Source organism: Homo sapiens, chromosome 12 (assembly GCF_000001405.40).
Source record: "Homo sapiens chromosome 12, GRCh38.p14 Primary Assembly".
NCBI classification, from domain to species: domain Eukaryota; kingdom Metazoa; phylum Chordata; class Mammalia; order Primates; family Hominidae; genus Homo; species Homo sapiens.
Genome location: NC_000012.12, coordinates 88,580,492 through 88,607,027, shown reverse-complemented (window position 1 = coordinate 88,607,027; position 26,536 = coordinate 88,580,492). Strand labels below are relative to the sequence as shown.

At 37.5% G+C, this 26,536-nt stretch overlaps 1 long non-coding RNA gene and 1 pseudogene across 1 annotated transcript; both read right to left on the bottom strand.

Annotated features, from left to right (window-relative positions):
• Positions 1 to 6,428: 6,428 nt before the first annotated feature.
• Positions 6,429 to 26,492, bottom strand: LOC105369885 (uncharacterized). The gene is made up of 4 exons (NR_188177.1): positions 26,418 to 26,492; positions 24,890 to 25,031; positions 9,027 to 9,080; positions 6,429 to 6,782 (listed from the first exon to the last, which is right to left on the bottom strand). It is a non-coding gene; the product is annotated as an uncharacterized LOC105369885 (long non-coding RNA).
• On the bottom strand, positions 25,232 to 25,343 carry RNU1-117P (RNA, U1 small nuclear 117, pseudogene; annotated as a pseudogene).

The window sequence follows — 26,536 nt, the reverse complement described above, 5'->3', positions numbered from 1 at the left end:
TTGATTTGGGGTGGAGGGTTCTGTAGATGTTTATTAGGTCTGCTTAGTCCAGAGCTGAGTTCAAGCCTTGAATGTCCTTGTTAATTTTCTGTCTCCATGATCTGTCTAATATTGACAGTGGGGTGTTAAAATCTCCCACTATTATTGCGTGGGAGTCTAAGTCTCTTTGTAGGTCTCTAAGAACGTGCTTTATGAATCTGGATGCTCCTATATTGGGTGCATATATATTTAGGATATTTAGCTCTCCTTGTTGCATTGAAACCTTTACCATTATGTAATGTCCTTCTTTGTCTTTTTCTATTTTTGATGGTTTAAAGGCTGTTTTATCAGAGACTAGGATTGCAACCCCTGCTTTTTTTTTTTTTTTTTTTTTTTTTGCTTTCCATTTGCTTGGTAAATATTCCTCCCTACCTTTATTTTGAGCCTATGTGTGTCTTTGCACATGAGATGGGTCTCCTGAATACAGCACACTGATGGGTCTTGACTCTTTATCCAATTTTCCAGTCTGTGTCTTTTAATTGGGGCATTTAGCCCATTTACATTTAAGGTTAATATTGTGATATATGAAATTTATCCTGTCATTATGATGCTAGCTGGTTATTTTGCCCGTTAGTTGATGCAGTTTCTTCGTAGCATCGATAGTTGTTACAATTTGGTATGTTTTTGCAGGTGTTGGTACTGGTTGTTCATTTCCATGTTTAGTGCTTCCTTCAGGAGGTCTTGTAAGGCAGGCCTGGTGGTGACAAAATCTCTCAGCATTTGCTTGTCTGTAAAGGATTTTATTTCTCCTTCACTTATGAAGCTTAGTTTGGCTGGATATGAAATTCTGGGTTGAAAATTCTTTTTTTCAAGAATGTTGAATTTTGCACCAACTTTCTTCTGGCCTCTAGGGTTTCTGCAGATAAATCCGCTGTCAGTCTCTTGGGCTTCCCTTTGGGTGTAACTGGACCTTTCTCTCTGGCTGCCCTTAAAATTTTTTCCTTCACTTCAACCATGGTGAATCTGACAATTATGTGTCTTCAGGTTGCTCTTCTCAAAGAGTATCTTTGTGGTGTTTCTGTGTTTCCTTAATTTGAATGTCTTGCTAGGTTTGAGAAGTTCTCCTGGATAATATCCTGAAGAGTGTTTTCCAACTTGGTTCCACTCTCCCTGTCACTTTCAGGTACCCCAATCAAACATAGGTTTGGTCTTTTCACATAGTCTAATATTTCTTGGAGGCTTTGTTCTTTCCTTTTCATTCTTTTTTCTCTAATCTTGTTTTCACCCTTTATTTCATTAAGTTAATCTTCAATCTCTGATATCCTTTTTTCAGCTTGATCAATTCGGCTATTGATACTTGTGTATGCTTCACGAATTTCTTGTGCTATGTTTTTCAGCTCCATCAGGTCATTTATGTTCTTCTCTATAATGGTTATTCTAGTTAGCAATTCCTCTAACCCTTTTTTCAAGGTTCTTAGCTCCCTTGCATTGGGTTAGAACATGCTTCTTTAGCTCAGAGGAGTTTGTTATTATCCACCTTCTGAAGCCTACTTCTGTCAATTCATCTAACTCATTCTCCCTCCAGTTTTGTTCCCATGCTGGCGAGGAGTTCTGATACTTTGGAGGAGAACAAGCCTTCTGGTTTTTGGAATTTTCAGCCTTTTTGCGCTGGTTTTTCCTCATCATCGTGGATTTATGTACCTTTGTTCTTTGCCATTGGTGACGTTCAGATGGGGATTTTGTGTGGACGTCCTTGTTGTTGATGTTGATGCTATTCCTTTCTGTTTATTAGTTTTCCCTCTAACAGTCAGGCCCCTCTGCTGCTGGTCTGCTGGATTTTGCTGAAGGGCCACTCCAGACCCTGTTTGCCTGGGTATCACCAGCAGAGGCTGCAGATCAGTAATAATTGCTGCCTGTTTCTTCCTCTGGAAACTTCGTCCCACAGCAGCATCCACCAAGTACCAGCTGGAGCTCTCCTGTACGAGGTGTCTGTCAACCCCTGCTTAATTACAGCACCAAGGGTAATGGTGTAACTATATATAATTGATAAAGATTTTGCAATTAAATCTAATTATTATATCTGCATGAAAAAGGATTATTTGTTTTCTAATTTGGAACATATGACTATAGACAAAATAATGTAAAACCCATTTGGAATCCAAAAATGTAACATCTGGGATTTATTCATTTTTTTGAGTTAACATCCTGTTCTCATTATTGATGATGTTTCTGAATTAACTGTAATTCTTAGTCTTTAATCTTCCAGTTTTAAACAATTGCACAAGAAATTACTCCAAAACTTGCTTAACCATAGGAGTCCTATCAGGAAAAGTTTCACACCTGTAGTCCATCTACTTGGGGGGCTAAAAAGGACAGAGTGCTTGAGGCTTGGAGTTTGAGACCAGCCTATGCAATATAGTGAGACCCTGTCTCTAAAAAAATAAAACAATAAAAGAAAATAAAAGCAAAAATCAAATAAAGTTCCAGCAAAACATCAGAAATTAAATATGGATATTCAAGGAAAATTAAAATGTTATATGAATAAAATGTACAATAGAACACTAATAAACATGTAAATCCATTTCATATAGTTGATTTTGGTGAAATAAATTAATTACTAAAACTGAGTTAGGAAAAAGTAAAAACAAACAAACAAAAAAACAATTATTAAGAGAGAAATAGAAAAAAATTAATAAATTTTTTAGAAACCTTCACGCTTAGCTATTTTAATGGATTAGCTCTTTAACAGTATAGAAATATTTGAAAATACATATAATTAATTTGTAAAATTAGCATAAACCTGATAGAGTAAACTTGTATCAACTGAACAAGGGCAAACACTATAAACAATCTCATTTCTAGAGGGAAGCATTATAAGTGGTTAAGAAGCTTGAAATCTGGAACTACTTGGGCACAATTTTATGCTCTGCTGTGCTAACCATTTGATCTTGGACAAGCTATTAATATTTAACCTTCCTAAATCTTGCTCATCTACAAAAGAAAGATAATAATAATAAATATGACATAGGGCTATTGTGAGGATGAAATTCGTTAACAAGGATGTTTTATATTTATGTAAGGCATAACACACCATAAAGTTACAACAAATATGTATTTTAAAACATAGCATTAAAAAAAGCCAAAATTGACAAATGGGATCTAATTAAACGAAAGAGCTTCTGCACAGCAGAAGAAACTACCATCGAAGTGAACAGGCAACCTACAGAATGGGAGAAAACTCTTACAATCTACCCGTCTGACAATGGGCTAATATCCAGAATCTACAAAGAACTTAAACCTACAGAATGGGAGAAAATTTTTACAATCTACCCATCTGACAATGGGCTAATATCCAGAATCTACAAAGAACTTAAACAAATTTACAAGAAAAAATCAAACAACCCCATCAAAAAATAGGTGAAGGATATGAACAGACACTTCTCAAAAGAAGACATTTATGCAGCCAACAGACGCATGAAAAAATGCTCATCATCACTGGCCATCAGAGAAATGCAAATCAAAACCACAATGAGATACCATCTCACACCAGTTAGAATGGTGATCATTAAAAAGTCAGGAAACAACAGGTGCCAGAGAGGATGTGGAGAAATAGGAACGCTTTTACACGTTGGTGGGACGGTAAACTAGTTCAACCATTGTGGAAGACAGTGTGGCGATTCCTCAAGGATCTAGAACTAGAAATACCATTTGACCCAGGCATCCCATTACTGGGCATATACCCAAAGGATTATAAATCATGCTGCTATAAAGACACATGCACATGTATGTTTATTGCGGCACTATTCACAATAGCAAAGACTTGGAACCAACCCAAATGTCCATCAATGATAGACTGGATTAAGAAAATGTGGCACATATACACCATGGAATACTATGTAGCCATAAAAAAGGATGCATTCATGTCCTTTATAGGGACATGGATGAAGCTGGAAACCATCATTCTGAACAAACTATAGCAAGGACAGAAAAGCAAACACTGCATGTTCTCACTCATAGGTGGGAACTGAACAATAAGAACACATGGACACAGGGTGGGGAACATCACATACCGGGGCCTGCAGGGGGGTGGGGGGAGGGGGAAGGGATAGCATTAGGAGAGATATACCCAATGTAAATGACAATTTAATGGGTGCAGTACACCAACATGGCACATGTATGGATATGTAACAAACCTGCACGTTGTGCACATGTACCCTAGAACTTAAAGAAAAATAAAAAAAAAAAAATAATAATAATAAAGAAGAGTGCTTGTCCCATTCATGAGGGTTCCAGCCTCAAATTAATTACCTTCCAATATTCCCACCTCCTAATACCATCACATTGGGGGTTAGAATTTCAACATACAAATTTTGGAGTGCATGAACATTCAGTCCATTGTAACTACTCTGCAATAAAAAGGAATAAAATTGATTCATGGAAAGGAAACAATAAATAAAAGGAAATAAATTGATTCATGAAACAAATTAAATGAATCTTGAAAACATAAGTGAGAGAAACCAAACACTATATAGAATCATATCAGTCAATTTACATAACATTCTAGAAAAAAGTAAAGATATTGTGCTAGAAAACTATAGTTGACAGGTCCTGAGGGTTAGGGGAGGACACTGACTGCAAGGAGACATAATAAAACTTTCTGAGGTAACAAAAATGTTTTGGTCAGGTTCAGAGATTGCGGTTAAATTATACATTTTTTCAAACTGCACTGAAGCATGTACTTAAAATTGGTAAATTTTTATACATAAATTATGCTTCAATAAAGCTGATTGTATCTATATAAGCATGTGCAATAAAAACTGTTAAAATAGAAGTGGGAAGAAACAGAATGTTGATGGGAGTTTTAACATGCTACCTTTATTCTCAATAGATTCACAGATATATTTATTTTATCCAAAAATACTTGTATGCCTTGGGATTTTTTAAATAATAACATAAACTTGAATTTATTTGTGAAAAACTCCAAGGAAACAATGTAAGTCACTGACAGTGGCAGGCCTTGAATTCCCTGATTGTAGCTCTGTCCGGGCAGCCCCCACTCTCCATCCCAGCATCTTCGTCTAAGTATAGACAATATTGCACTTTTGTAAAGACAAAGACATTCTGCATTTACCATCACATGCCATTTGTTCTTGTCCTAGTCATCCTACATACTCTTAGTCCTTATCTCTTCCCAAACAATGTCCATTGTTATTGTTCATCTATAAAGCAATACATTTCATGCCACATCCACTATGTGCTCTGCACTCCTCTGGATGCTACAGGTAGGGCCATGGACAAGCAGAAGTTTCTAAATGGTATATGTCATCATCAGAAAAAGTAAATAAGTAAATAACTAATATAGTTAAATTAACAATAAAAAATATTTTGAAAAAATTAAGAAAGTAAGGAAATAAAGAGTAACTAGGAAAGAGGAGTTGGTATTTCTCTAGAATAAACACGAAGATGTGGCATGGCTGGGTCATATGGTAAGATTATTGTTTGATCAAGTAACTGGGTACTATAGCCTAGTGAAGCTGATACATAAAATTAGCCATCACATTAATCCCTTAGGAAATGTAACTAAAATCATATTGAGATGCCACTGGACAACTATTAGAATGGCTGAGAAAAAAATACAATACCAAGTGTTAATGCTTAGTATGGCTAACGCTGATGCAAAGCAACAGGAACTCTCAGATACTGCTGGTCATAATGCACATTTCTTAATATCCCCTATGTTGAAAAGGAAGTCAAAAGGGAAGTTAGTAAATATTTTGAAGTAAATAAATATAAAAACATAGCATATCAAAATATGTAGGAGGCAGTTAAAGCAGTGCTTAGAAGATAAACTGTAGCATTGAATGCTCACATTAGAAAGGAAGAAATATCTCAGATTGATTATCTGTTTCCACCTTAAGAAACAGTAAAAATAAAAAAACTAAACCCAAAGAAAGCCAAAAAAGGAAGTAATAAAGACAAGAACAGACATCAATGAAAAAGAAAACAAACAATAGTAGAAAAAAAGCATTAACATCAAAATCTGGATTCTTTGAAAAGATCAGTAAAATTAATAAACCACCAGCCAGAGCTACCAAGAGAAAAGAGAAGACACAAATTACTAGTATCAGGAATGAGAGTAATAACATCACTACAGATCTTGTAGATATCTAGAGACTAGTGAAGAAATATTGAGAAGAAACTTATGCCTATAAATTCGACAATTTGAATGAACCAGACACATTCCTTAACAAACACAAACTCCCAATGCATATTCTAAAAGAAGCAGATAACCTGAATTATCCGAATTATCTTGTTGATATACAGATATTTGTATATGTCTATAGATATACAGATATAAAATTCAATTAAGAATTGAATTTGGAGTTTGAAACTTTTCTAGAAAGAAAATTCTAGGCACAGATGATTTCACTGAGAAATGCGACCAAACATTTAAGGAAAACAGCAATCATTTATTATCATTCATGGTTTCTATGGGTCAGGAGTTCAGAAGCAGCTCCACTGCATAGTTCTGGTTGAAAGTCTCTCACGTGGTTGCAGTTAGACGTTGACTAAGGCTGGAGTCACCATCAAGTCTTCTTTGTTTATATATCTGGCCCTTGGCCTAGGAAGACTCAAATAGCTGAAAGACGGAACAGCTGAGGTTTCTAAAGCATTTCTCTATATATCTTCATGGTATGTCCATGTGGTCCCTCCAGCATGGTGGCATCATGGCAGCCAGACTTCTTACATAGTTGCTCAGGGTTCCAGAATGAGAGATGGAGAAAAAGAAAGTGAGAGAGAGACTATATATTTTTTTATGACATGTTCTCCGAAATCCCATAATATCGCTTCTGCTGCATTCTATTTGTTCAAGCATTCACAAAGGTCCATCAAGTTTTAAAAACTGTGTCTAGAGGAGAGATAAACTACTCTTGGCTGGAAAGTTACAAGGGTCTGTCGGACTAGGAATATTGTTGTAGCCATTTTTGGAAAATATGATCCACAACAATGGGAGGTCTTAACGTACTTGAGATTACTTTGAACTCACAGTACAACTGCAAATAATTTATTTTAGTCTATTCAAATGTTTCCAAAAATGAAGCTGAATGTAGAAATAAAATTGTAGGTTAATCTAAAAGAGAAACTTAGTCAAGTGCATTTTTAAAAGGAAAGATTTCAGCATGATGAAAATGTACTATTTTGGTTATTCATTTGGCCATATCTAATTGGTCAATAAATAAACCTATACTTTTGGTTGTAAATGTGTGGATGAATAACACGTAGCCATAACCATACTGCCTTGCTGTCTCTCCAATACTCTAACATATATGTTTAGTGTATGTATGCATGTATATATACTCAAATATGTACACATGTGTGTATATTGTCCTATAAAGCTAATTCAGGAATGTCATTTTAATAAATAAATGCATTTTATTAGCAAATTAGATCATGGTTAATTTATATAGAGTGAAAATTTTGAAGAAGTTGCACTAGATTCTAGATTTAAAGAAACTCTAAGCTCTTCGCAATTAAAGTCACTTCTATAGGCTGAATTGTGTCCCCTCATCCAGGTTCATGTGTTTAAACCCTAACACCCAGTAACTCAGAATGTGACTGTATTTGGAGATAGGGCATGAGGTAATAAGTTAAAATGAGGTCATAGAGGAAGACTTTATTCCATTCTGACTGGTTTTCTTATAAGAAGTGGAAATTTAGATACACGGAGAGCCCCCAGGTGTGCACAGACACAGTGTGATGAGGCAGCAAGAGGATGGCCATCTACAAACCAAGGAAGACAAAACCACTCTGCTGGCACTTTGATCTTGGACTTCCATCCTCCAGAATGTGAGAAAATAAATTTCTGTTACTCAAGCCACCCAGTCTGCGTTACTTTGTTATAGAAGCCCTAGCAAATTTAGAATACAATCACTCCATTTACTATTTAAATGCATGAATGAGGCCTAGCATGGTGGCTTTCACCTGTAATCTCAGCACTTTGGGAGGAAAAGTCATGCAGATCATTTGAGTCCAGGAGTTTGAGACCAGCCTGGCGAAACCCCATCTCTACAAAGAAATAAAAAGTTAGTCAGACATGGTGGCACATGCCTGTAGTCCCAGCTACTTGGGAGGTTGAGGCATGAGAATCATTTGAGACCAGGATGTAGAGGTTGCAGTGAGCCATGATCAGGCCATTGCACTCCAGCCTGGGCGACAGAGCAAGACTCTGTCTTAAAAATAAATGAATAAATAAATAAGGATGAAATTATGTATCTCTAATATGTTTCTAAATATTCTATCATAAGTTTTTGCTTACAAAAATTTAAATAAAAAGGGGGAAAGTCTATTATTTTTAAAGTACTATGTCTTCACTAATTTCTCTCCTACATTTGTGCCCTTCATACACTCTTGTCTAAGGTCTTCTGGCATTGTGTGTTTGTGATCCTTTTATAAGATACAGTTCTGAGTATATTCAAAGCATTTCTTATTACTTCAGTTTCCTAGAAAAAGCACAAGATAAGAGTTAAGATGAGAAGTTTTATTATCTTTAATATACTTTAGATTGACAAGGATCTTTAATGATCTTAAAACATTAAAAATAATTAAAGACCTTTAAGTCAACCTAAAGTTTAAATATAATTTTGGTTATAATCTTTTTTTAAGAAAAATTGAGGCTATAGGGTCAAGGTCAGAGCATTTGAGATTTGAGTTACTAGCCATGATGGACTTTTGTACCCCTCTATGATTATTAATGCATTGCCTTCTCTGCACAACGGCAATGCTACTATCACGTAATCAATGTTGAAGCATAACCTGTAGGTAGAAACAACAATTACAACACCTTTGTTCCCACTGAAGAAGGAAAAGTATACTTAGATCTACTTAAAGCTGCAAGCAATTTTGTTTGCATTTTGTGTATATATGTTGCTATGTGTCTCTATATTTGTGCGGGCATATCAATTAAGAATAGTATATTAGTCCGTTTTCATGATGCTGATAAAGACATACCTCAGACTGGGAAGAAAAAGAGGTTTAATTGGACTTACAGTTTCACAGGGCTGGGGAGGCCTCAGAATCATGGCAGGAGGCAAAATGCACTTCTTACATGGTGGCAGCACGAAAAAACAAGGAGGAAGAAAGAGCAGAAACCCCTGATAAGCTCATCAGATCTCGTGAGACTTATTCACTATCACAAGAATAGCATGAGAAAGACCAGCCCCCATGATTCAATTACCTCCCTCTGGGTCCCTCTCACAACACGTGGGAATTCTGACAGCTACAATTCAAGTTGAGATTTGGGTGGAGACACAGCCAAACCATATCAGATAGATTAAACCATTGATGAGGTGAGTATCTCAGGATAAGTTCCTTATTCTAAGCCACTGTTCCCTCATCTATAAACTAGGTTAATAAAACACTGTCTCCAGAACCTTGGACAATGGGATTAAATCAGAAAACATGTACAAAACTCTTGGCAGAGTGGCTCATACATTGCAAGAGGTTAATGAATGATAGCAACTATAAGCTTTTATTGCCATAAAGCTCAGACATTGGATTCCTCAAAGGCAGAGACTGTAGTTATCTGGGGAAAGCATCATGCCTGGTGGTGTAGACTCTTAATGATAGTGTAGGTTAAATTCAGCTGGACTGAAATAAAATAGATAAATATTACATTTACACAATGCTGTAAATTTCTGTTACTTTCTAAAAGTATTTTGATATTGCAAAGAAAAAAAATTTCTCAAATATTAAAGTACTTAACTGGGTAGGTAAAATAAACTATATTGAGGAATCAAAGTCAGTTCAGGCTTAATTCTATAAACCCAACACTTTTAAACAATAAAGACTCAGTAACCAATTACTCTATTCTAAATAGACATGTTTCACAGAATATTTAATAATTTTGTTGATATTCCAATTTGTTTTATTGATCAAAATATTTATCTTTCTGTAGTAACTTAGAGTGGATAAATTTGATTTGTTATTTTTTAAAATTTCAGTCTTTTTTTGAAAAAAGCAAAGCATTTTGTTAATTTTCAACTTTCATGCGTCTGAAATCAGTTCAAAGCTCACAACTGATAATGGCACGAGTCCACTCAATTTAGCACAAGTGTGTTTTCTCTGTTCCTCTTTGAATGTTACAGAGAATTTATCTTTTTTCACATTCAAAAAACTGAAACAATAAACTCAGGATAGCAATGCATCATAAACTCATAAGATGAAAGGCCATTTGATTGCATATTTCTTCTTCTTATAGTTTACTCTAACAAAGGATTTCTAGAAAAGTATGCCAGACCTATAGAACAGCAAAATAAATAAATAAATAAAAATAAAAATAAAAATAAATGGAGTAATGGGAAGATCACTAAGACAGGATTCAGGAATTCAGATTCCAGCCCTGACTTCCCTATTTAAAATTACATCATCTCTGGTTAATATCACTAAAGTTCTTTGGATCTCATCCTCCTTTTCTGGAAGGTGAGAATTGTGATGTATGCATGCCCTTCTCCATTAGAATGTGATTATGCTTTGAACAATCACGAGCACAATTCAGATATGAGATGATAGTCCTGTATGTTGTCTGCTGTGGCATATATTTTTCTCTATAAAAGTAAGTACTAAGTTAATGCCACCAATAGATCTTGTATGAATTTAATAATGTAGCTCTAATATTTACTGCATGCTTATTATGCAGCATTTATTGTCTGCTTAAGAATTAGGGACCTTTAATACACTAACGCTTAACCTTCAAAATGCCACTATTGGTAGTCATCATCATTATCCTCATTTGAGAGAACAAAAACCACTAGGAATATTAGTTCTGTATGTTTTGTCCCCATGCGCAGGAAAAAGTTCTAGAATGGAGTGATGAAGCATTATTATTCCCATTTAAGAGATGAAGCCTCTGAGGCATTGGGGTTAAGTTGGCCAAAGTCAAACAGAAGGTTACTGTCACACACAGGCCCCAATACTACTGTGAGGCAAGTATTGGGAGTTAAGAAGCTGCTATGAATTTCCCAGGCAGAAAGTGGTGGAGCCAGGCCTTAAACTGAGGTCTGTGTATCACAAAGCTGATGTTATTTCTACTATGGCACAGTGTAAAATGATCTATGTTAGATAAGAAAAGTGCTACCTCCTTTCATTTAATAAACCATTGTAAAATAATCATACTGTGTTTTACAACTTCCTTGTTCACTTTCTCCTCCCTCCTTGGCTAGAAAGCTCTTTCTCTATTCTTCTAACTGATTTAACTGGACTCCAAAAGTCAAACTGGCTTTAGTTATTCATTTTTTCCAGAGAGGAAGATTGATGTACCATTATCTTTTTTTTTTTTTTTTTTTTTTGCCAGGCCTGCTTAGAGTTCAAGGATTTCTTCCTTAACAATGCCAGATCTTTGATGCATTAGATTTAAGTGGACAGTTTCAGTGCAAGGATAAATTGACAAAAAACTTTTCATTGAAGTTCAAATAGAAAAACTTTGTACCATTGCAAATAATCCAGATTTTAGCCAACTCTCTTTGTTCGCAATGTCCTACAGTGTAGGCTATTTTTTAGTGAAACTTCTCTCCAGGAATCCTTCTTTCTTCAAATACCTTTTTTAGGTTCACTGTTAGTGCTTTAATACCTTGACTACATATTTCTGCTCAACGCAAACTTTTTAGTTTCTCTTTTTCTAGTTAACACCATTGGAAACCAGATGAAAGGCAGCTTCTCACTTTGCACTGACAGTTGATCAAGATAAACCAACACAAAGGTTACAGAGATGATATTGTACAAGCTATACTAAGGTTGGTAACCAGAAACCCAATAATGGGGATTAGGGGGAAAATCAGTACAGATAATCTTCAGCTTCTAATGTCTGCACCAAAAAGGTCTAGTGCTAGCCTAACTATTTCCTTTACTCTATATAAAGGAACCTTGTTCCGCTTTCGGAGCCCTTCATTGTCATGAAATCAGTCATTGAATCAAAATCCTTAAGGACATTTTCCAAGCTGTGAGTACTCCTTTGAAAGCTGTCTAATTATCCTGTAGTCCGGGTAGCTATCCAGCATGCCCTAGGACGAGACAAGTTACTTTTTTACCTTTTGACTACATAAGGAAACTCTGCAATGTAAATACTACACTGTATTATCAGAAATGTTTAACTCACTTCCTAGCCCATAAATGTTCCTATTTAACAACAAAGTATTATTAAGGGATACACTAAAATATCATGGTTAAAAGAGTGGATTTTTAGAGTTACTCAAACACCAGTTGAATCCAAAATTGGCCACTTTCTAGCTCTGTGACCTAGAGTAGCCACTTAACTACCCCTGTGACTTAGTTTCCTCATCTGCAAAACAGGGTAATTATACCCATCTCATAGATGGATTTGATCGTCTTTTTTCCCTTTCTCTAAATAATGACAATGATAAGCACCAGATTATTCACAGTGAGCTTACCAAAAACCAAAACCAAAACAAGCAACAATAGCATTCTTAGGAGTGTTGTGAGGACTATTGTAGAGAACATAGTAAAGATTAAACAATATATGGAAAGTACTTAGTGCTTGGTAAATGCTCCCTAAACAATTATGAACTGATCTTAAGTCTATTTAGTATGCATACTTCTTAGGTTATTTACATAGATTATTTGGCTACCAGACCACAGAGAAAGTAAATCACAGATCAAATTCTCTCACAAATGTAGATATGACTAACCAACACATTGACAAGTGGACACAAGTCAGGTCACACAAAATATTATTTAAAGCTTGAGTAAGTCCTAGTTCTTGGTACAGTTAAGTGCTCCCTTTAACATCTTAAGTGAAAAATTCACTGAATACAAACATATCATTAGAGTTTGTATTTCTCTCAGTCAATGGCTAGAACCAGTTTGTTTAGGGCTCACGTCCTTAGCATCATTTCTACTGCTACAAGCTTCAGGCCTCCTTGGATTCTTATACCCTGATCATGTTTATGTCTCTAAAAGAAGTTTAACCAATCCACATGTTCTTAAGAACTTTAATCTTACCAATTAGAGCTCTCTTTTTACATTAATGATGCTGATCAGTCAGCCACTATTTTCACCTCTAAAAAACCATTTTTCCATATAGTATGCTATTCATGAATAATATCTATTAATAACATTCTTATTTTGAACATATTTCCAACATCTATGGATAAGCTACATATGGGTAATACAAGTGCTTGTATCAGTACCTGCTAAAGTTTGGATCTCTAAATTCCATAACCCTTTCTTATGCTGCTAATAAAGACATACCCGAGACTGGCAATTTATAAAGGAAAGAGGTCTAATTGACTCACAGTTCAGCATGGCTGGGGAGGCTTCAGGAAACTTACAATCATGGTGGGAGGGGAAGCAAACATGTCATTCTTCACATGATGGCAGCAAGGAGAAGTGCCCAGCAAAAGGGAAAAAGCCCCTAATAAAACCATCTCGTGAGAAGTCACTCACTATCACGATAATAGCAGCATGGGGGTAACTGACCCCATGGCTCAATTACCTCCCACTGGGTCCCTCCCACAACATGTGAGGTTTATGGGAACTACAATTCAACATGAGTTTTGAGTGGGAACACAGCCGAACCATATCAAGCATGGAACTCCTCATTAGAAAGCCTGCTGGTCAGCTATCCCATTACTGGGTATATACCCAAAAGATTATAAATCATGCTGCTATAAAGACACATGCACACGTATGTTTATTGTGGCACTATTCACAATAGCAAAGACTTGGAACCAACCCAAATATCCAACAATGATAGACTGGATTAAGAAAATGTGGCACATATACACCATGGAATACTATGCAGCCATAAAAAATGATGAGTTCATGTCCTTTGTAGGGACATGGATGAAGCTGGAAACCATCATTCTCAGCAAACTATCACAAGGACAAAAAACCAAACACCGCATGTTCTCACTCACAGGTGGGAATTGAACAATGAGAACACATGGACACAGGGAGGGGAACATCACACACCGGGGCCTGTTGTGGGGTAGGGGGAGAGGGGAGGGATAGCATTAGGAGATATACCTAATGTTAAATGACGAGTTAATGGGTGCAGCACACCAACATGGCACGTATACATATGTAACAAACCTGCACGTTGTGCACATGTACCCTAAAACTTAAAGTATAATAAAAAAAAGAAAGAAAGCCTGCTGGTCAGCTGTGGACTCAAATTCTTGAATAGAATGCTCTTAGCATGTGGGATGTAGCCTCACTCAAATAGCAAACACACAATACCACACTGCATATTTTAAGGTAAATGAAAGCTATCATGGCATTAATCAATCCAATTTAAGAATGCATTTTTGCTTTTTTTTTTTTTTTTTTTTTTGAGATGGAGTCTTGCTCTGTCACCCAGGCTGGAGTGCAGTGGCACAGTCTCGGCTCTCTGCAACCTCCACCTCCCAGGTTCAAGTGATTTTCCTGCCTCAGCCTCCCGAGTAGCTGGGACTACAGGGGCATGCCACCACTCCCGGCTAATTTTTTTTTTTTTTTTGTATTTTTAGTAGAGACGGGGTTTCACCATGTTAGCCAGGATGGTCTCGATCTCCTGACCTCATGATCCACCTGCCTTGGCCTCCCAAAGTGCTGAGATTACAGGCATGAGACACCGTGCCTGGCCAAGAATGCATTTTTTAATAAACAATAAAGGAAACATATTTAAAAATTCAGAGGTTATGAAAATGAGCATCTTCTTTAATCTGTGTCTCACCTTGGGTATAGTTTTCAGAATAAGAAAATTAGTGTCTGGCATTTGCCAACAAAAATAAAGAAAAAAACAAATAGGTGAGGGCGGGTAGTGTATGCGGCCAATGATGACAATGCCTGGGGTTTACTAACCAGTCTAAGTTTGGAACTCTAAATTCCAAAAGCCATCTCTACCCTCAAGGCCTCTGGGAAATAGGTTGAAAACTGATTAAGATCCCCATAACCTGTGAAGATGGGGGTCACTGCAGTCAGTTTCTAGCTGAGAGAAAACTCAGACAATGAGGTACATTGTTAACAAATGTATTTTATGCAAACTTGATAAGTGGTCTGATGATGTTGAAAGGAGATATGAAAAATCTACAACTTGTCTAAGTTGCACATCCACAAAAAGAAAAAAGAAAAGAAATATTACAATGCCTGTTTCGGACTGTGGAACCCAAAATGGTAAAAGTTATCTGTTACCTAGTTGACTTCATGTCAAATTCATTCCCTATCCACCCCAACCCCTAAAAAGACAGAAAGAAGAAAGTCCCAAATGTTTGATAGCTTCTCAGTATTCCCTGTTTATAGTTTTCACAGGAAAATACACCATGGGAGTTGCATTGCATCTTGTGACAAAACTTTCCAAAACATTGCTTTTGTCTATATACCTACACCCTTTATTAACTTTGTCATTTCAAGAGTGATGCAAAACAAACTTGTCAGTTAAGAAATAAGCCATACCCTAGGAACTTCTCATTTAAATGATTCACTGGAGGACACATGTTTCAAAAGTAGAATATGAAAAACAACATTGCCACAGTTGAAGCCACAAATCTTTTTTAAGATCAAATAACCAAAAAGAATAACATTGCTGCCAAAACCACCAACCTAAACTAATTTATCTAGTACAAATAAAAGTTATGAGACATAGAAAAAGCCATAAACTGAAATGATGCCGAAATGTACGATTATATGATAGATTTTTAAGTGGTTATGAAGAAGAGGGACCTGTGGTAAAATTTATCAAAATTGTGGTATTACATTATATTTGAGCATCTAAAATGTATGTATTCAACAGTCTCCTATATTCTGGTAATATGGAATATAAAAAAGTATATTCATAGAAATACATATCATTTAGAAAATCAATTCCACCTTTTCTTCTTCTCTAGAAATTCCTTTCTGAATAATCTTAAAACCACTGTCTCCTTAACAATAAGTCACTCTTTACTATAAACAGCACTAGAATATTTACTCTTTGATCTTGATTCCTTGGAAGTACTGCTTCTGGACTAACCAGAAGGTTTTGCGTAAGTCAAGTCTGAAGATGTGGGTTCTACTCCTCATTCTATCATAAATTAGCCTCTCTGTAACCTCAATTTCATCATCTGCAGATTAATTGTGTAAACTACCTTTTAGCAAAATTTTCTTCTAGTCTTAAAACCTGTGTTCATGAAATAACTCACAAACTCATAGTTCCTAAAAATCTCTAAATTTTCTCTAGTTTCTAAATTTGAGTCGCAAATATTTATGTTAATAAAACTTTTAATTGCAAAAAAAGAATACACATATAGGACTTTTATCAAGTCCTATATGTGTATTCTCTCTCTAGAATGTTCCCATCACATTTCTACAACTCGTTTTACTCTTTTACTCAGCACGTTTTGAGCAACAGCTTCTCTTTCACTGAGTGGAGGCTCATGTACTACAAATTAATTTTCCCGTTAACAGTAAACCTAAGATTGTAAGGAATGAGCAACCACTCTGCTTCAAAGAGACAGTGATATTTGAACCAGGCTTTGAATGATGAAAAAGAGATTTCGGGCAGAAAATGGAGGAAAAGCTACTCCATGTTAAAGGAACAATGTAGCAGAGGAATAAAGGTGTCAAAGAGAAAATGTTGAGAAGTTCAATATGGTTATTTGGAAGGAGGTAGATAACAGATGAACATAGAGAATGATAAATATTGTGGCCAAATTGTAAGGAGCCCTGGATTTTATTCTCTAGGTACCAAGGGTAAAAATACTATGACAGACAGAAAAGTGGCATGACCAGATTTTTACATGTGCAGCTGTAACTTTGCAGCAATGTTGAAATGGACTGTAGTAATAGAAGACCAAGGATAGGAAGACCATTGGTGAATGGTTTAGGTGAGATTCAGGAGACTCTAAAGTAGGGCAGTGACAAAATAAATAAATAATATGTTTTGGATGAAATTATTAAACAATAAAAGAGAAAATCAGTTATTATTTAAATATTAATTATTAATCATGTGCTTTGAAGGAAATAGTATCATCTGGAAGTATTAACAAATATTTGCCGAACAAGGGGACTAATGAATAAATGATTGAAGTTCTCTCTGCAAAGCTGAATTTGTACTTTTGAAATATACCAGGAAATCCTATCTCTAAGATCCACTGGATTTATTTTCCCTCAAGTTGCTACTAGAATGTGTAAATAAGTTTATTCCTTTAGATGTTCTTGGCAATCTCGTTCTCTCATTGGATTGTGATAGCCAATACTGTAATGAGCACTTTAGCTTCAAAATACATTAAAGATTTTCTTTTCTTTTCTTTTTAAATTTCAATAGTTTTAGGGGAACAAGTGTTTTTTGGTTACATGGATAAGTTCTTTGGTGGTAATTTCTGAGATTTTGTTGCACCTGCCCCCGAGCAGTGTACACTATACCCAACGTGTGGTCTTTTCTCACCCCCTCCCACTCTTGTCTTCAAGTCCCCAAAGTTTATTATATCATTCTGTGCCTTTGCATTCTTACAGCTTAGATCACACTTGTAAGTGAGAACATACAATACTTGGTTTTCCATTCTTGAGTTACTTCACTTAGAATAATGGTCTCCAACTCTATCCAGGTTGCTGCAAATGCCATTATTTCATTTTTTTAGGGCTGAGCAGTATTCCATGATGTATATATAACACATTTTCTTTATCTACTCATTGGTTGATGGGCATTTAGGCTGGTTCCATATTTTTGCAATTGCTAATTGTGCTGCTATAAACATGCATATGCAAGTGCCCTGTGGGTAGATACCCAGTAGTGAGATTGCTGGATCAAATGGTAATTCTGCTCTTCCTTCTTTAAGGAAATTCCATACTGTTTTCCATAGCGGTTGTACTACTTTACATTTCCACCAGCAGTGTGGTGTTCCCTTTTACACATTCACACCAACGTCTATTATGTTTTGATTTTTTTAACTATGGTCATTCTTGCAGGAGTGAGGTGATATCTCATTGTGGCTTTAATTTTCATTTCCATGTTAATTAGTGATGTTGAGCATTTTTCATGTTTGTTGGCAGTTTGTATCTCTTCTTTTGAGAATTGTCTTTTTCTTCTTTCCTTTTTCTCCTTTCCCCCTACTCTCCACATGTAACCTTGAGGCAAACTGCAGAAACCTTCTTTTTTTCTCCCTAGTCTTAAATTATAGCCTTGAAGTGTTCTTTGGAATGCTATGTCCCTCTCTCATCACACACTTCCTTGATCCTATGAACATTTATCTAACTGTATACTTGTTAAACTTACACCATGCACACTTAGAAGTTGTGCTTACTTAGAAGTTCCAGAAGCTAATTTTGAGACAGACCAGGCATGAAGACCCAGACACAAAATTCCAGAGATTACCTCAAGGTAGTTAGTCAACAACCCCACCATTGTTGAGATGATGCCAGCCCGTACTCTAGGCGAACCGTAACTCAAGATAGCCACTAGTACAAAACACACAGACCTTGTACCCAGTGCCACTCCAGCATGCCTCCCATTCCAAGTTCCCTTTTTAAGCCCCTCTCCCCACCCTAAAGTTTGAAATGGTTTCTTTAAGGCACTAGCCTTGGTCATTTCCTCACTGCAAGCCCTGGAATAAAGTAATTTTCCTTCCACTGCACTTCATGCTTGTTACAAGCAGTGAGTAGCTGAGCTTGCTTCTTGATTATTTGATAGATATGAACTATAATTACTTATCCATATCATAATTATCTCCAGGGACACTCATGCTTTTTTTATTTTTTGTCAAACAAATTCCATTTAATATGTAATTAATGTTTATTGATAAGACTAAACAGAACATTCTGAGTTAATATGAATATTTCTAGAGGTTCACAAGAGGGATAAAAAAATAAAAATTTCTAAGATGAGTTATTATACAAGCTCAACTTTTTTCAGGAATGTAATTATTTACTGTTGATTTTTAAATTGATCATACAATTAATTTTTAGGCATAGAATAAAGGGGGAAAAAAGCCAACCACCAACAATGTAAGTATTTACTATCTGATGTGGTTTGGATGTTTTGTCCCTTGTAAATCTCATGTTGAACTATGATTCCCAGTGTTGGAGGTGGGGTCTGGTGGGAGGTGATTGGATCATCTGGGTGGATCCCAAATGATCTGGGTGGATCCCAGCTTAAAAATCATATTAAGATTTTTAGCACCAACTCCTTGGTGATGAGTGAGTTCTTGCTCAATTAATTCATGCAAGATCTGGTTGTTTAAAAGTCTGGAACCTCCTTCTACTTGCTTGGTTGCTCTCTCTTGCTATGTGATACATCTGTTTCCCTTAACCATTCACCATGATTGTAAGCTTCTTGGGTCCTCACCAGAAGCAGATTTCAGTACCACACTTCCTGTACATTCTGTAGAACTCTGAGCCAATTAAACCTCTTTTTATTTATATAAGCTAACCAGTATCAGGTATTCCTTCATAGTAACACAGACTAACACAGAAAATTTGTACTAGGGAGTGGGATTTTGCTATAAAGGTACTTGAAAATGTGGAAGTAGCTTTGGAACTGGTAACAGGCAGAGGCTGGATGAATTTGGAGCACTCAGAAGAAGACAAGAAGATAAGGGAAAATATGGAACTTCTTTGAGAATGGTTAAACAGTAGTGACCAAAACGCTGATAGAAATATGAATAGTGAAGGTCAGGCTAAGGAGGTCTCAGGTGGAAATGAGGAAATTATTGGGAACTGGAGTGAAGGTCACCCGTGTTATGCCCTATCAAAGAACTTGGCTGCTTTGTGTTCATGCCCTAGAGATTTGTAGAATTTTGAATTGAAGAGTCATGACTTAGGATATATGGTGGAAGAAATTTCTAAGCAGCAAGTGTTCAAGATGTGGCCTGGCTGCTTCTAACAATCTATACTCAGATGCAGGAGCAAAGAAAGAACTTAAAGTTAGAACTTACATTTAAAAGGGAAGCAGAGTCAAAAAAGTTTGGATATTTTGCAGCTTGTCCATTGATAGAACAGGAAAAGTCATTTTCAGGACACAATACAAGCAGGCTTTGGAGTGGCCACTTGCTAGAGAGATTAGCATAACTAAAAAGGAGCTAAGAGCTAATATCCAAGATAATGAGAAAAAAGCCTCAAAGTCATTTCAGAAGTCTGTGAGGAACTCCCTCCCATCATAAGCCCAGAAGCCTAAGAAAAACAAGTGGATTTGGAGGCCAAGCCAAGGGCCTCACTGCCCTGTGCAGCCTTAGGTCACTGCTCCCCACATTCTGGTTGCTCTGGCTCTGGAATCAGCTCAAAGGGCCCCAGATACTGCTTTGGAGACCATAAGGCACCGTAAGCCTTGGTTGCTTCCACATGGTGTTAAACCTGCAGGTGCATGGAATGCAAGAGTGAAGGAGGCTTGGCAGCTCCCTCCCAGATTTCAGAGAACATGCAAGAAAGCCTGGGTGACCAGGCAGAAGCCTCCTGCAAGGGTGGAGCCCTCATAGGAAGCCTTTACTAGGACAGTGTAGAGTAAAAATGTAGGGTTGAAGACCGTAAACAGATCCCCTACTAGGTCACTGCCTAGTGGAGCTGTGGGAAGGAGGCCACCATCCTTCAGACCCAAGAATGGTAGATCTAAAAGCAGCTTGCATCCTGAACCTGCAAAGCCTCAGGCACTCAACTCCAACCCATGAGAGCATGCACAGGGGCTGCATCCACAAAGCTACAAGGGCAGAACTGCCCAAGACCTTGGGAGCCCTTGCACCAGTGTGCCCTGGATGTGGGTCCTAAGGAGTCAAAGAAGATCATTTGGAGCCTTCAGATTGAATTACTGCCCTGCTGGGTTTCAAACTTGCATTGGGCCTGTAGCTCCTTTCTTTTGGCCAATTTCTCCCTGTTGGAATGGGAACATATACCCAATGCCTGTATTATTTATTGTTACATCTTGGGAGTAAATTACTTATTTTTTATCTTACAGGCTGATAGGTGGAAGGAACTCATCTCCAGATGAGACGTTGGACTTGGGACTTGGAACTTATGAGTTTACACCTTGGGGGACTATTGTGAAAGCATGATTGTGTTTTGAAATGAGAGAAGGACATGAGATTTGGGTGGCCGAAAGCAGAATTATATGGTTTCTCATAATCTCCCTCCAAATCTCATGTTGAAATGTAATTCCCATTGTTGGAGGTGGGGCCTGATAGGAGGTGATTGTATCATGGGGGTGGTCCCCTCATGAATGGTTTAGCACCATGCCTTTGGTAATGAGTGAGTTCTTGCTCAGGTAGTTCATGAAAGATCTGGTTGTTTAAGATCTGGGACTTCCTCCCCCACTCACTCTGTTGTGCTCTCTCCTGCCATCTGACACACCTGCTTCTGCTTTACCCTCCTCCAGGATTGGAAGCTTCCTAAGGCCTCACCAGAAGCAAATGTCAGCACCATCCTTCCTGTACATCCTGCAGAACTGTGAACCAAATAAACCTCTTTTCTTAAAAATTACCCAGTCTTAGGCATCCCTTTATAGTAATGGAAGTGGACTAATACACTATCCTTCACAATATTGCTAACCCCTATTACATAATCAAGAAAAACCCTGAACTAGACAAATCAGTTTGATGTTGTTTTCTGAATACTAGAAAAATTATATTATTCAAAGAATACTCTGTGAACTTATTATGTATTTCATCATTTTCAAGGCTGGTAAAATCACACGCCTTCACATAGGCAAAGAGAACTTCACATTCTTGTAGTTTGGAAACTCCATAGGAAGGAGATACTGTTCCCCATTAGCTCAAGCACAAAAGTCCCACAGTGGATTCTGATTGGCCCATCTCATGTGATGTACCCATTCCTCCACCAATCAGGACTGGACAGATCAGGGTACTAAGCCTATCTCCGATAGTGGAAGGAGGTGGGAAAACAGAACCATGTGAATGACAGTCTCTCTTGAAAGATAAGGAATAGTCTGAATTCTCTAAGTGAAAGTGAGTGCTAATAATGGAAGAAGAGTGACAGGAAAGTGTGCTAAGCAAATAAAAAAAAAAAAAATCTAAGCCGGGCATGGTGGCTCACGCATGTAATTCCAGCACTTTGGGAGGCCAAGGCGGGCAGATCACCTGAGGTCAGCAGTTCGAGACCAGCCTGAGCAACATGGAGAAACCCCGTCTCTACTGAAAATACAAAACTTAGTCAGGCATGGTGGTGCATGTCTGTAATCCCAGCTACTCAGGAGGCTGAGGCAGGAGAATCGCTTGAACCTGGGAGGCAGAGGTTGCGTGAGCCAAGATCATGCCATTGCACTCCAGATTGGGCAACAAGAGTGAAGCTCTGTCCCCCCCCGACAAAAAAAAATTCCTAACCACAGTCCATATGTCTAGGTTAGATCATGGTTTTCCCATTTATCAATTGAGGGATCTTGAGCAAATCACCATACTTCTTTGATCCTCAGTTTCCTTATTTATCAAGTAGAAAAGTTAAAAATTACCTCTCTTACATGATTGTCATAAGAAGTTATTGACAGAATATAAACTAAGGGCTTAGACCAATTCCTGGCTTATATGGGCAACAGCAACCTAATTGACCAATATTTAAGGGATTCGCTCTGTTCTTTCCCCTGTGACAGATATTGACAATAAAATAATGAGCAAGGGCAGTCATAATTACTTTAACCAAATAGTCAAACAAACAAATACAAAACTGCAGTTGTTTTATAAAAAATAGGTAATTCATGCTCGACTTTATAGTAAGAGGAGAATTGAACAAAGCAAAGAGATCAGGGAAAACCTCCCTGAGGAAGAAAATATAGGGAATACTGAGTTGAGATCTACATGATAAATGCATACTTACTGGGCACAATGATAGGGTGAAACAAAGTGGTCCAAACAGAGGCAGAAAGGAGGGTATTTGCAAATGGCCTGAGGTGAGAATTATGAGGACAGAAGGGCCTTGGCCCTGGAAAAAAGGGAGCACATAATGAATTGACCTTGGAGAAGGAGGGAGAGGCGAGATCCTGGAGGCCTTGAAGGCTTTGCTAAGGTGCTAATTTCTTTATTCCAAGAGCAATGGCAAGCCACCAAAGAGCTTTCAGCAGAGGAAATTTCATGATCAAAGAGGCATTCTTCTCCTTTTCCCCCTCCTCTAGTCACTCAAAGACAGATATAGACAGTCTGTCTCCGGTCTGGCTTGGTCAGGCAATAAGTTTCAGTTTGTGAGAGACATTTTTTAAAAGAAAAATATTGAAAACAATATGTGTGTCTAAAAGAAGATATCCACAAAATAGTGAATGAACAAGAGATATTTCACATGCACAAAGCAAGATAAGACTTATTTGGTAAATTACACCTGCCTCTTAACAACAAAAACGATAAAGCTCAGGAAAAAAGCTTTTCAAAATTGGATTAATCAATAATAGCATGAGTGACGAATAGTATTGAAAGTATTCAAGTAAAAATTAGATAATCATGAAATAACTTTCTACCCAGTGTGTTAAATGTTGAATTCCCTGAGTTGTATAATGGTAGCCTGCTATTTCCATAAGAAAACATCCCCCATCCCTCCTGTCCACCTGGGACATAGCCCTGCCTCTTGTTCAGTTTAAAGGAACTCCTTGGTTTTTCTTCTGCGAATCAACTGAATGCTGGCCTGCATCCCCTATCAAAAGCCAGTCTTAAGGAGAGATCTCAGTCATTCTGACCCATTTGTGACTTCCATATAAGCCTACCCAAAATCTTTCATTTGCATATTAGCTCTTTCTAATCCCTTGGATATTTGCTTCGACATTCTCTTGATTCAAGTAACATTATTACACAACAAAACTGTAATGCAGCAGTATGAGGGAAACAAAAGATACAGTTACGTATGAGAAAGTCAGTGATATTAAGAAAGCTAGAACCAGGGAATGGTGGAGGTGGGAGGAGGAGACAGAACTGAGAGGGAAAAAAAATGGAAAGAGGGAGAAAGAGAGAGGAGAATGAGAATGCATTGTAGGAGATGAACGTAGCATGTATTATTGAGTTGAATGAAAAGAAATTGAACTGAATTTCTGTTAGGAACACTGCCTTGTTTCTTTAAACCTGGTACAACAAATTAGGCCATTCCTTTCTATTGGTCTCATAAAATCCGTATGGTTAGATTTATGATTCCCAGGCTTCAGTAACTCTCATACCATTTTGATTATTTTTGTCGTATCTGTCCTCCTTTAGTACTACTTGTTATTTACTTAATGTTATACATGAAAGTGAGTTTATATTGACACTAAATATTTCTTTTCTTGGGGGGAAAATGGTGGTAAAGGGGTACAAAGTTTTAGTTAGACAGGATGAATAAGTTCTGGAGATTTATTGTACAGCATGATAACTACAGTTAATGTACTGTATACAGTTAACCCTTGAACAACACAGGTTTGAACTGTATGGGTCTACTTATATGCAATTTTTTTTTCAAACTCAGATGGAAAATACAGTGTTCTAGAGATGTAAAACCCATGTATAAGCAGGGCTGACTTTTGTGTCTGCACGTTCTGCAGGGTTGACTGTGGGACTTGAATATATGTAGATTTTGGTATACCTGAAAGGTCTAGGAATCAATCCCCTGAATATACTGAGGTACTCCAAAACTACAAAGAGTAGATGTTAAATACTCTCAGCTCCCAAAAATGATGAGTATGTGAGGTGATGGATATACTATTTAGCCTGATTTAATAATTTCACAATGTATACATAAGCAGAACATCACATTGTACGTGGTAAATAGATACTATTTTTGTCAAATATAACTTAATAAAGCTGGAGAAAAAAAATAAAATTCTCCACTTCAAAAAAGCCTTAAAGGGGCCGGGTGCAGTGGCTCACGCCTGTAATCCCAGCACTTTGGAAGGCTGAGGCAGGCGGATCACCTGAGGTCAGGAGTTCGAGACCAGCCTGGCCAAAATGGTGAAACCCCGTCTCTACTAAAACAACAACAACAACAACAAAAATACCTGGGCGTGGTGGTGGGCACCTGTAATCCCAGCTACTTGTGAGACTGAGGCGGGATAATCGCTTAAACCTGGGAGGCGGAGGCTGCATTGAGCCGAGATTGCGTCATTGCACTTCAGCCTGGGAGACAGAGCGAGATTCCATCTAAAAAATAAAAAATAAAAATAAATCTTGAAGAAAAAAAAAACAATCATTTGCTATGCCTCCAGTATCCAAATTAAGCTCATTTTGATATTTGATGTTCGATATATTTGTACTAAGAGTACCTAATGTATAAAAATCTTTCTAAGCAACTATCAACTTGGAATCATGATTGATGTGCTGTCTATACATATTTTTTCTAACATGAGAAAGTGAGAACGCAGTCCCCCACTAAATTATGCAGTCGAGTTTCCCACATTTGGGGAAATCACAGAAGTCAGCACATCTGGAGTGAAATAAACAAGCTTCGCCCTGATTACAGGTTTGGCATATTCATGTTTAACAAACGCACCGGAACTAATTAAAGCAAATTTGGACTCCTACTCTATTATTAAAATAACTAATTCCTAAACTCATACATTATTCTTTCTTTTAAAGATCACTGATGTTAATGTTCAGCTAATATTTTCTTTTAAAAAATTAATGAAATGCTTTGGAATGTTCTCCAGTTATACAAACAAAAACAGACACATTCTGGAGAATCAATAAAATATTTGAAGTATTTTTTAAGACTGTACAGCTGGAGCTCCAGGTTTAAATTAGAGCTCTGCCATTTACTAGATATGGTTGGTCAAGAAAATTAACCTTGTATTTCATCGTCCATAAAATGGGAATAAAATAATAAGATCTACACTAATAGATTTGATGAAAGAATTTAATGAGATAATCTATGCGAAGTTCTTAGTCTGGCACCTGGCACATGAATAAGTGCATCACATAATGATGTTAGCTATTATTATTGTGGTTGCATTATCTTTCCGTTCAAAAAAGTACAACTTTCAAAGCCTTGCTGTGTTGGCGACCTGTAGTTTAATAATCTATCGCTTCTCTTTCAATCTTAATTTCTAAAGACACAGTAACAAACCATTCCAAATGAAGCGTCTCCCCTTGCAATACTTAACCTTGAGTCAACAATTCTTGTAATTATTAAATATTCATTCACTAAAGTAATTGTTTTTTTTAAAAAATAGAGGTGATAGGACAATGGCCTAACTACAGATCGCAATTAAACTTTATTTCTCTAAGGCAGGCAGGGTGAATTCTTTGCTCCGAACCTCCCGGACTCCTCTCCCTCTCCGACTTTGTATAACAGAGGGAGCTCCGAGCCCTCTCTGGCGCGCGAGGTATTTCGTCTGTCCCCGGGGGTGCCAGGTGAGCCCCAGCGGATCCGGGAGGGTAAGCTGGGACTCCTCGCGAGCAGTAGCTGCAGGGTACCAAGCTTCGCCCTCTGCGTCCCCGCGCCTTCGCGGTCTCCCGCCAGTGCAGGTCCGGGGCCCCCAGGCGAGCGGACAAGGTTGGCCTAATCTGCCAAACTTCTGGGGCATTTACCGTGCTCTGGCCGCCCTCCCGATTCTTCCCTCCGCGCCCTTGCCTGCTTCTCGCCTACCCCGGGCTCCGGAAGGGAAGGAGGCGTGTCCGGAGCAGGCGGGCGGGAACTGTATAAAAGC